At 41.1% G+C, this 11759-nt stretch overlaps 1 protein-coding gene across 1 annotated transcript; it reads right to left on the reverse strand.

Moving 5' to 3' along the window:
• Window positions 1-5260: 5260 nt before the first annotated feature.
• Window positions 5261-6190, reverse strand: OR8B4 (olfactory receptor family 8 subfamily B member 4). The gene has a single exon (NM_001005196.1). It carries the CDS (start codon window positions 6188-6190, stop codon window positions 5261-5263), a length of 930 nt encoding a protein of 309 aa, NP_001005196.1.
• Window positions 6191-11759: the final 5569 nt, after the last annotated feature.

An 11759-nucleotide genomic window follows, 5' to 3' on the forward strand; every position in this document is an offset into this window, starting at 1 on the left:
GATGATCAAAGAACATTGATGGGACTATTTTTAATATATCAAATTTATTGAAGTTTGCTTTTGTGACCTAATATTCACTCTTCATGTGACTGTTTTTTGACCCTTTGATTAAAAGGTATGTTTTTAATATCTAGGACACAGAACTACACATACACACACACACACACACACACACATACACATAAAAAATTGGATGTTTATATAGAAAAAACTAATTTATGTAAGTAATTAGATTTATCTCTCTATTATCTTCTTGACATTTTCTACATCTTTTATCTTTTTCTATAAACCTGCTTTATCAGAGACTAAAAGCTGTAATTTAAAGTTCCCTTCCAATAATGTTAATTTCTCTTATAACTCCTGATGTTCTACTATGTGGTGCAGAGAGACTCATAACCATTACATATTTATTGTAAATTGTATCCTATACCATTATAACGCTTTTGCATTTAACATTTTTTGACTGAATTTCCATTCTGACTGAAAGTCAGCCTGTTTGTTTGCTTGTTTGTTTATATTTACCTGTTATATCTTTAGTCACCATTTTATTTTCAATCTTTCTGAATCACCTGGTTATAGATGGGTTTCTTGTATGCCACATAGAGTTGTATTCTGCTCTTTGATCCAGTCTGACTCGTGTTCTTTTAACAAAGAAGTTAGAACATTTACCTTTTTTAATTTGACAGACAAAATTGTGTGTATTTATCATGTACAGCATGATGTTTTGAAGTACATTTACAATGTAGAATGGCTAAATCTAGCTAGTTAACAAATACATTGCCTCACATGGGTGTCATTTAATACACAGTACCCCCTTATTCTTAGGGGATATATTCTAAGTCTCCAGTAGATACCTGAAATCACAGATAGTACCAAACCCTATTTGCCATCAACTGGAACACCATTTTCTGTTCATGTCTTCCACATGCTATTCTGTGAAATTGTGAGTCATCTAGCCTAAATTTTCCTGTCAAATTTCCCTATTAGCTGACAATGAGCCCTCCTTCCATGGCCCTTGTATTTTACTCATGGTTCTCCAGAGAGAAAGAATCAACTGGATTAGATAGCTCAGAGATATAAATATAGATTAGATATAGATATAGATAGATAGATGAGAGGGGATTTATTAGGGAAAATGGCTCAAATGATTATGGAGGCTGAGAATTTCTATGACAAGCTGTCTGCAAGCTGGAGATTCTGAGATGTCAGCAGTGTGGATCAGTCCAAGTGTGAAAACCTCAGAACCAGGAAAGCCAATGGGTTAACTCTCAGTCCAAGCCCAAAGACCTGAGAATCCAGGGACCACTGGAGTTTGTCCTGGAGTCCCAAAGCCAAAGAGTTTGCAGTTCTGATATCCAAGGACTGGAGAACAGTTTCCCAGCTCCAAGAGAGAGAGGAAATCCTTTTCTCTGCGTTTTCTGTTCTGTCTGGGCCCCCAGCCGACTGAATGATGCCCACTCACATTGAGGGCAGGTTTTCCCCACTGGGTCCACTGACTCACATGCCAGCCTCCTCTGGAAACACCCTCACACTCACACACCCAGCAGTTCCCTAGGTGTTCCTTAATTCAGTCAAGTTGACACCTAAAATTAACGAGTAGAGCCCTATTTGAGTTGCACTTTGTGTCCTCTCAGACACTCTATTTTTCATATGGTTTCCAATAACCCACTACCAGAGCAAGAGGGGTCATTTCAAATCATAAGAAAATGAGAGCTTCAATTACCAGAAGTCCTTGTGCTAAAAGTGCAGAGACAGCTCTAATGTGGGAAATTTGGCAATATTAATCACTCACTCCCCCTTTCCTGTGGGTCTAATTAGTGAGAATGACTGGAGCCAAAAGAGGATGAAAATACCATTGCATCTTTATTCATAGCCATGCTGAAGAGGCAAAGATGTCAGGACTCGCACCTCCCTCTCAGAACCCGGACTCTAACTTAACCCAGTAGGAGACAGCAGTAGAGGTTAGGATTGAAATAGCACAGATTCTGGCTTGTCCTCACCATGAGCTTGCCTTACGTTAGTACCAATAGTTTGGTGATGAAGACACTGGGCACATTTCCATCAATGACCAACTTGTCAGTCTTTTTCAATCTTACCTGTCCAATTAATCTAACCTTCTCTCACAGAGTGGACAAAGTAAGAAAGCAAAAATATGGATAGAGTGTATTCACTTCTAAATTGTTCCCTCCTGGCAAGTGGTATTCTATCCTTTGGTGGATACTGCTAGTTGTCTGCACAATAGCCATGTTAGCACCTTCTTCCTTAGCAACAAAATTCTGTTGTTTAAGGATGATAATGCTATCAAGTGAAATGCTAAGTTTCTCAGCCTCCTTTGCAGGTAGGGATAGTTAATAACTTGTCAGTAGCAGTCATACGTTAAATAGGTAAAGTACCCATTTGCTTATGCTTACCCCTGTGTCTTCCTGCTGCTTGAAATATGGACAAAATCTTAAGAGCTCTAGTGGCCATCTGGAAATCATGATGCATTATTGAGAATGAAATCTCTAGCTAGAAAGAAGAGAAAAAAGATGGAGAGAGAGACTGAGTGCTTGATGACTCAGCACTGTCAAATCAGTCCTGGACTGCCCACCTCTGGATGCCGTTTATGTTGGAGGACAATAAACACTTATATGTTTCAGCCACTGCAGTCAGACTTTGGTTACCAGCAGCTGAAGTGGTTTGTAAATGATACATTTCTGCTGTGGAAGTGTGAGGGGAGAAAGGGCACTACGCATCTAAGCTAAGAGTTAACGCTGAGTCTGCCACGGACATCCTCTCATCTGCCTCTTGAGCACAGGGAAACCACGTCCTTTTCCTTCCAAAGATCCACTGGAAGTTCTCCTTGTACTCTCGCTCTTCCTACTTGGAGGGTCACTTACCTATATTCTCCCACATGGTTAGAAATGTGAGAGACAACAGTTTACTCCTCCTGATACTCCAAAACTATGTCATCACTTAATCGTTAAACAATTCTATTTGAACATCAATGTTAATAAGACTTGCGTGTTTCCAGTTTACAACTGATTACAGATTCTGATTGTAGCTCAGGGTCAGAGTTATAGATTTGAAAGTCACCATCAAATGCGTGGTTGTTGAAGTCACCTGAGTCAGAGAAATGCCTCAGGAAGAGCCCAGAAGAGAAGGAGACCAAGAACTGAACCTAGAGGAATCTCAACCTTAAGGATGCTTCCTAAAGAGAAAAAAGTAGCCTTGCTAGAAATTAAAACGTCATGACGTGAGGAGATGATGGAGTCGTGGTCTTGTGACAGAAGGACTCATTTAGGACAGATCTGACACTCAGTTTCAACTTACTTCTCTGTTACTGTAATGCCACAGCCCTCAACCCTCCTTCTATTTGTTTAACACTGTGAGAACAAACAATTCCTTAACGTCAACCCAAAACAATATGCAAGATGACCCATCCTTGGTTTGAGACAGAAGTGCAGGCCTTCTGAATTTATTTAATGTTGCATTTTCTGTGGAAGCAGTAGATGCTCTTATTTGGCTTTACAAGAGCCAAGAAAAGTCTCTCTGAGTTTTTGTCATGTAAGATCCTCAGTCAAAAAGGAACTTCTTTCCAAAAGAGCCAAGCCAGTGTCTCATTAAGTCAAACATACTTTCACGGCTACTCACCCCAGTGCCAATATGGAGTGAATGCAGGGAAAGTTATTCTTGGACTTTGATGCATTGATTACATAATTGTTCCTTTCCATTCATATCCTATGCCCTGACTTAGTTCTTGTTCCCGCTCATTTATACCAATGGTAATTGTTTTTTTTTCTTTATCCGTATCAAAGTAGATTTACTTTTGTCCTTCCTTATTCTTGATTCTTTTCTAATATCCCAAGACCCCCATGGACCTAGACACAGACAGTCCACTGGAGGGTGGGATTCAGCAAGGCCCAGAGGACTGACCAGCAGTGGTTGAGTAAGGTATTAAATCAATTCCAATGAATGAATTAATATATTTAAGGTACCTCAAATGGTGCACAAACACATGGTGCAAGTTCAGTAACTGTTAAGTGTCATTATTATCATAATCAAAGCATAATCCAAGTATCAGAGTTTTTCTCCTCCAAAGATCTTCCTCTAGCAGATTTGGAGAAGATAGATAGAGTTTGTCTCACGTCTCCTGTTGGTCAGACCTGTGCTGCAGTTGCTTCTCTGCCCTGCTCTCAGCTCTCCCTCAGAATGTCTCCTGGCCACGAGCTGGAGCACTGAACTCTTCAATGTAGAACAGCAGAACCTTTAGCAGAGTAATACAGAGTGGTCTTTGGCACTCAAAATCCAGATCCCTTCCAGACTCCCTGAGAGTGGGACGTGTAATATGACTCCTCTTTCTTTCCGATTCTATATTGATTAACTGTAATACACATACAGACACACACACACACACACACACACACATATAAACATGCACACACGTTGTCAGAACTGTAAAATCTAAATCCACTTTAAAGAATAAGCAATCTTCCTAAAATCCAGTAGTGTGCTTAGTATCTCCAGAGCAAGGCAGAGGCCACATTTTACAGATCATGCAAATCCGTGGAGTTCTTCCTTGTTTCTTCTTCCAGCCTGAGTCTCCGGAGCCTAAGAAATTGGCCCAATTACACAGGATCACTTACCCCTGATTACCATTCCAAGGCCCAGAAGCTTTAGAACTTTGAAATAAAAGATTTGGATTTGATTTATCCTTACAGAGCAGATCATAGAAAATTCTTGTGTGAGGGCTTCTTTTATGTACATACATGTATATGAAAAGGAGGGTTTATGATCTTCCTGACCAAGCAACCTCCTGAAGAGCTGGATATATAATCATATTAGCACTGGCACCAAGGTATCTACCATTGATCTTTAATAAGTCTGCTTATGTAACTAAAGAGAAAACACTCCTCAACCTTTATACCACCACCTGCCCCTTGTTCCAGCCAGAAACGTTCTTGCTCAGAAAAACCCATTTAGCCTACCAAGAAAAGAATGGAAGGCATGGAGCCTCATCTTACTCATCTCTTGGGCCTAATACAGAGTTCAGTAAACAAAAGGCATTTCATAGACACTAACTTGCAGGCAGTGAGCCAATTTAATTGTTGCAAAATAATATAGTCCTCAAGGAGAGTATAGGAAAGAGATTTCCAATTTTTAAAAGTGGAGAGGAGACCCTCTTTGAGGAAAAATATTAAAATTCCTCCGCCTATAAATAGAAAGACACTTGAGTATCATGCTTACCGAGAATCGGTTGCCAGTGATATGAAGAGACCCATTAGAAGAGCACTCTCTTCAGGGTTTTGCCCAGGGCAAGTTTATCATCCTTATTCCTCAAACTGTAGATCGAAGGGTTAAGCATGGGAACCACATTGGTGTAAAAGACTGAGGCAAATCTGCCATGGTTCATAGAGCCAGGAAAAGATGTTGTTAAGTAGGTGAATGTCCCTGACCCAAAAAACAGAGCAACAGCAATTATGTGGGAGCCCCATGTGCTAAAGGCTTTGGATCTGCCCTCTGCAGAAGGAATACAGAGGATGTTGGAGAGTATCAAAGCGTAAGAGATGACGATGCTTATGCTGGATAGCATGGTGATTACTCCAACAACAATGAAAAATACCAGCTCACTGACATGGGTGCTGGTGCAGGAGAGCTGCAAGAGGGGGAGAACGTCACACAGATAATGGTCAATGACGTTGGAATCACAGAAGGTCAGTCGCAGCATGCTTCCAGTGTGGGCCATGGCCCCAGCAAACCCTACCACATAGGAACCAAACATCAGCAGAAAGCAGACCCTTGGGGACATGGTGACCATGTAGAGCAGGGGGTTGCAGATGGCCACATAGCGATCATAGGCCATTGATACCAACACATAGCACTCAGAATTGACAAAGAAACAGAAGAAAAATAGCTGAGTCATACATCCCACATAAGAGATGATACTTTCTGAAACAAAGTCATTCAGCATTTTGGGGGTAAACACACAGGAATAACAGAGATCTATAAAGGACAAGTTGAAGAGGAAAAAGTACATGGGGGTGTGAAGGCTAGGATTTATCCCAATTAAGGTGATCAAGCCCAAGTTGCCCACCACAGTGAACACATAGATCCCTAAGAATAGAAGGAAAAGAGGGAGCTGGAGCTCTGGCTGTTCTGATAATCCCACAAGGATAAACTCAGTCACTGAGGAGCTGTTTCTCAGAGTCATTCTCTCTTGGCGAGCTGTCTGGGGAAGCAGAGGGCAAAACACAAAGAGTCATGACAGGCACAAGCATGGCTAAGGGAAGAAGACTCTAGTGGACCAGCCAGTGTGCAGATGCCCTCTCTTCCATCCTCCCTCATCTACACACCTCCCCACCCTGAGGTATTAACAACGTGTCTGTGAGAGGATCTCAGCTCTGCTGGGCCGATCATGAATTCAAGCTAGCATCTGTTACCATGGGCAGCAAGAATTCCGTCTCTGCTTGAGAGATGACGAGGGAGACAACACACCTGAATTGGCTGCCCAGGGACTCTCAGAAAGACACCCTGAGAACCAAGAGTACAACCTGGGCCGCTGCCTCAAGAGCTGAGAGACCAGAGCTCTCAAGGTCACCAGGATGCCCTCCCATTCTCTGCCTCCGTCTCCCAACTAGATAGTGGATTTCCATCTGGAGAGAAAGCCAAGAGTGTTACCTGCTGGCTCTTTACATCCCACCCGCCTCCTCGAAGACCCTCCATTCCATCTCACCTCAGGGTCAGTGTTGAGAGCAGAGACGGGATCCATACTTCCCAGAGCCCTTGGTTGTGGGTTTCAAAGAGACCATCAGGAAAGACAGGATTCGGACCTTCACCTTCCTTCTCCCGGGCCCCACTCAGTGCTGGGCCTTACGCCATCTCTTTTTCCATTAGCCAGAAAGAGAAAATGGTGCTGCTTGTGCAGAAAGCACACAGCCTTGCGTATTACCTCTTTTGACTCCCTTGGTGCTGAGAATCAGAGCTTTTACAGACCCCAGGCTCCAAGGTGCTCAAGGAATAGACCATGGTTTCTGTTTGTGGATTTTCCCAGGTGGTCTTGACAACTTCAGGAAAAAAAACTAGGAACTCTCATTTTGACCAGAACCCCAGCTGTCATATCACAGAGGAATTTAAGCTGCTTGACGATCTCAGGGACCTGATTAGACACAGTTTCCCCTGGGAATTTCTCCAAGATCTGTCTCTATAGGGAAGGAATTGCACTGTCTTTGTTTACAGCCTGGATAACGGTGCTTACCTAGCATCTTGGGAGTGGGGGTTCCACTCAAACTTTCCCTCTACTCCAGGGATTTCATGTTATTCAGTGCTGAGTTTGGGGACTCATTTTTTCCTTTCTCATTAACTCTCAGAGCCTAAGCTTGAATTTAAGAGTGAATAGCCCCAACCTAAGCCACCATCTCCAAATCTTCACAGGGAGCTATGAGAGTAGGACCCCTCAGAAAAGGTCAGATCAGATCTACAGAGAGCACCTCAGATAAAAGGCTTCTTGGACCATGCGCTGCTCAGAACAGAAACCACACCACCTCCACCACAAACACCACCTACTCGCAGCTCTAATAAGGGCCGCAGACAGGCCTTTACTATATATGAAGAGATTAAAATATCACAACACATATGCTAGAAAGCACACACACACACACACACACACACACACACACACACACACACCCCTACACAGAGTTACTCTCTAGGCATGCAGGCTTAAGGTATAATGGGAGATGGATGTAAGGGTCTAATCCTGCCATTATTCAGATGACAAAGCTGCTCTCCATATGATCTGCTAGATGAATATTTTAAGAAAAATTCAAAGACATGGGAGCATCTGCATTTGTAAGTTTCACTAAGGCTACCTAAAATAATCCCAGTTCGCCTGGGACAGTCCTGACTTACACTCATTATCTCTGTATAATTATTAATAGCATACCCTTTCACTCTCAGAAGTGTCTGGACTTGGACAACAAATTGTGTATACTAACTAAAAGTAAGTAGGCATATTTACCTAAAGACATGCCAAGATTGTGCACTGCAGCGTTGTCCTTAACAGCCACAAACTGAAATCACCCCATCTGTCAGCCAACTGTAGACCGGATAATAAATGGTAGGATGTTAATAAAATAGAATTCCATATAGCCATGAAAGATAATGACATAGATAAATGTCACAAACCAACAGAGAGTGAAAGGAGCCAAGCACAGAAGAGGGTATATTTTATGATTTCATTTACATACAGTTTAGAAACAAGGAAGCTAATCTATGGTGCTAGAAGTCACACAGCAGTTCCTCTTGGCTGGGCAGGCAGGGGCTAGTGACTGGAGAAGGATGTGAAGGGTGCTTTAGGGTTGCTGGCAATGTCTGGTTCTGACAGGGGTGCTGGTGACACAGATGTATGCAGTTAGCAAAAATTCATCGAGCTCTATCCTTATGTTACACTTAAATAAAAAGTTTATTTAAAACGTAAGTGGAGAACAAAAAATAAATCATCCTACCAAATTAGTTTAAGACAAAAATTACTCAACAGCTTTGAGCTATAATTCCCCCATTTGTAAAATGGATATTTACTGCCCTGACAACTCAATATAGTAGAACGTGCAAGAAAAATAACACCGTTTATGTTTCTTTTCCATCTTATGTCTCTTAAAATAAAAAACCATTTTTTAATATAAAGGGAAGAAATCAAGAGAAAAGAGAATTAATGCATATGGAGCAACTACAGAGTGCCTGGCCTTATGCTGGATGTTTTCTGATGTAATATGTTGTTTATAACAACTATACAATGTGTATGTGTGTGGCAGATTGTATTTCCCAAGTATGACTATACTGGTGCACACACACATACACAGTCACGCATGTATACCTTACATCCCACATGCTCTTGATATAATAGGACTGAAACTCCTCCAATCAAAAGATGAGGCCTATATGCCCTAATTTTGCCTCTAGGCAGGGACTTGGGATTTTTCCAATCACTAGAGTATGGTGGAAGTGACGCTATGTGACTTTCAAGATTGGGTCATAAAAGGGTAGAGCTTCCACCAGGCATGCATTCTCTCTCTCTATATATATATATATTCTCCCTCTCTCTATCTCTCCCCTCTCCCCAAACCTCTTTTGACATCCCTTAACCTTCAGGAAAGTCATGTTAAAACCCTCTGGCCTTGTCACAAGATAAAATCACATAATTACATGCCATAGGAACTTAACTCTTGTTTATGTCACTTACCCTATAGGAAAATTGCTCTCATTATACAGTACATTATTTCACTTGAAGTTGTGGTTTCCAAGCACCTACCAAAAATTTTGAGTGCAGATTTACCGTACACTATAAGGTAGCAAGTGTGTGGTCATTTGTCCAGTGTTGAGGGGCAGGAGCCCCTTAGGACCTACATGCCAGTGAGTGGACACTTGGAAAAACACTCAAGGGAAATAGCCAGGGGACTCACCAGAACAGGTCTGGATCACTTGGCCCAATTCTCCCACACTACCAAGGAAGTCTCCTTCCAGTTCCATATTTGAATAATGTTTATGAGGTTTACTTTTATGAAGAAAACAAGCATTGCTATTTAGTACACATAATTCCTTACCCATTGCATTTTCCCATCCTGAATGGCAGTTTATTAGGTATGCAGCAATGATCTAACAATGGAAGAGAGAATCTTCTGTTCATTAGAGTAGACGTCAATTTATTAATCATCCAACAAATATTTATTAAAGCTAGTTATTTCCAGTAATATTGCAAAAGCTATTGTATTAGTCAGGGTTCTCTAGAGGGACAGAACTAATGTGATACATAGAGAGAGGCGTTTATTAAGTATTAATTCACATGATCACAAGGTCCCACAATAGGCTGTCTGCAGGCAGAGGAGCAAGGAGAGCCAGTCCAAGTCCCAAAACTGAGGACCCTGGAGTCCATTGTTCGAAGGAAGGAAGCATCCAGCATGGGAGAAAGGTGTAGGCTGGGAGGCTAGGCCAGTCTCTCTTCTACATTTTTCTGCCTGCTTATATTCTAGTCTCGACGGCAGCTGATTAGATTGTGCCCACCCAGATTAAGGGTGGGTCTGCCTTTCCCAGCCCACTGACTCAAACATTAATCTCCTTTGGCAACACCCTCACAGACACACCCAGGATCAATACTTTGTATCCTTCAATCTAATCAAGTTGACAGTATTCAGCATCACAGTTATATTCAGAAAGAGTTCTTGGGATAAAAACAAAAACCAAGAATTCTGGACAAAATATTAAAAGCATCTATTTGTTCATATTTGAGCTGCCAAAAACTAAGTAAAAATCTGCGAGAGCAAAAGAGAAGAAGTAAGAAAGTAAGACTTCAGAGGGATGCACAAACCCCAGAGCTAGAGTTTGCCTTTGGGGAACTAGCGGATTCCTGGGGGGTCAGAGCTGGGGTTTAATGAGTTAGCTATGCAGGAGATAAAAAGATAAAGCCTGGAACTTTAAGCAGGTTGGAAGTTTGGAACCATGACTGACATAATTCTGACTCCCCAGGAAAAAAAAAAATTCTCCATGGCTAACTTGGAGAAAAAATGCCCACAGTAGGAGCAGGCCTAGAAATGTGACCGACTTGGCCTTGGCTCTAGAATGGCAGAAAAACAGACAAAATAGCCTCTGACAATTTCTAATCACCTCTGTGTTTCAAGTAAAAAATTCATATTACAAATATGACAATAACAAAAAGTTCTTTCTGGAGAATAAAACTTAAATCCAGATATGAAATTATTTCCCCAGATAAATATCCAAGGATCATGAGCTCATGATGAAAATTTTAAACAAACACAAAATAATCCACCATCAATAAGACTCACCAGGAATGATAAAACACAATTTATGTACCTAGCCAAACCTGCAAAATTACTAGCTTGTCAGGGACAGAAAACAAAATAGATGCATACAATATGTTTTTAAAAATTAAAAATTAAAAAGCAAACTGAAAGTATAATGAAGGAACCATCAAAACTGAAAGAACTCCCCAAACTTTAAAGAATCAAATAGAATTTTTAGAAATGAAAATATGGTGATTAAAATTGGGACCTCTATGAATATGTTAGAGAGCTTATGTTAGACACAAGTGAAGAGAAAATAAGTAAACTGGAAGGTAGATCTGAAGAAATTGTCCGGAAAAGTCAACATCAGTGTGGGAGAGACTATGAATTAGAAATACAATTTAAGATATGTAGAAATAGGAAGTTCCAATGTGTGTGTGTGTGTGTGTGTGTGTGGTATACACACAAGCATTTAAAATAATTTAAACCCCGTGTTTTGCTCTAAAAACAAGGCAACAATGAAAACAGACACAACCCCTTAACTTTCAAACATATAATCTAGATGGAGAAAGCTAGAAGAAACAGATATTGACACATAATTAGAAATACAGTAAGTGTGCCAGGAAGAGGCTATAGAGTTCTGTGAAAACATTTAAAGTGGGCCCTACCAAGTCTTCAAGGTCAGAGAAGGCCTCCCTAAAGAAGTGAAATTCAGTTTTAAAGCTAAATTTAAGTAGACATTTAAAAATGTATAGCTGTTTGTTTGTGACTGTCCAGCATTGGAATTCCTTCCAAATTGAGGACTCTGCCCCTGTGTGAGCCTTGGCTGAAGCAAGGACCCAGCCTCCTTCTGTGAAAGCACCCCAGAGAACATCAGAGCTAGCTCAGCCAGTCAGATGTTCCCAGGCAGAACTCTTCAGTTTGGGGTGAGTGACAGAAAAAAAACAGGAGCAATTTATATTTCATTTTTGCAAAATCAAAAACAAA

The sequence above is a fragment of the Homo sapiens genome, chromosome 11 (assembly GCF_000001405.40).
Source record: "Homo sapiens chromosome 11, GRCh38.p14 Primary Assembly".
Lineage (NCBI taxonomy): Eukaryota > Metazoa > Chordata > Mammalia > Primates > Hominidae > Homo > Homo sapiens.

What these genes read in the sequence shown, in the direction of transcription:
- OR8B4 (NM_001005196.1), bottom strand. Translation starts at nt 6,190, where the DNA reads ATGACTCTGAGAAACAGCTCCTCAGTGACTGAGTTTATCCTTGTGGGA.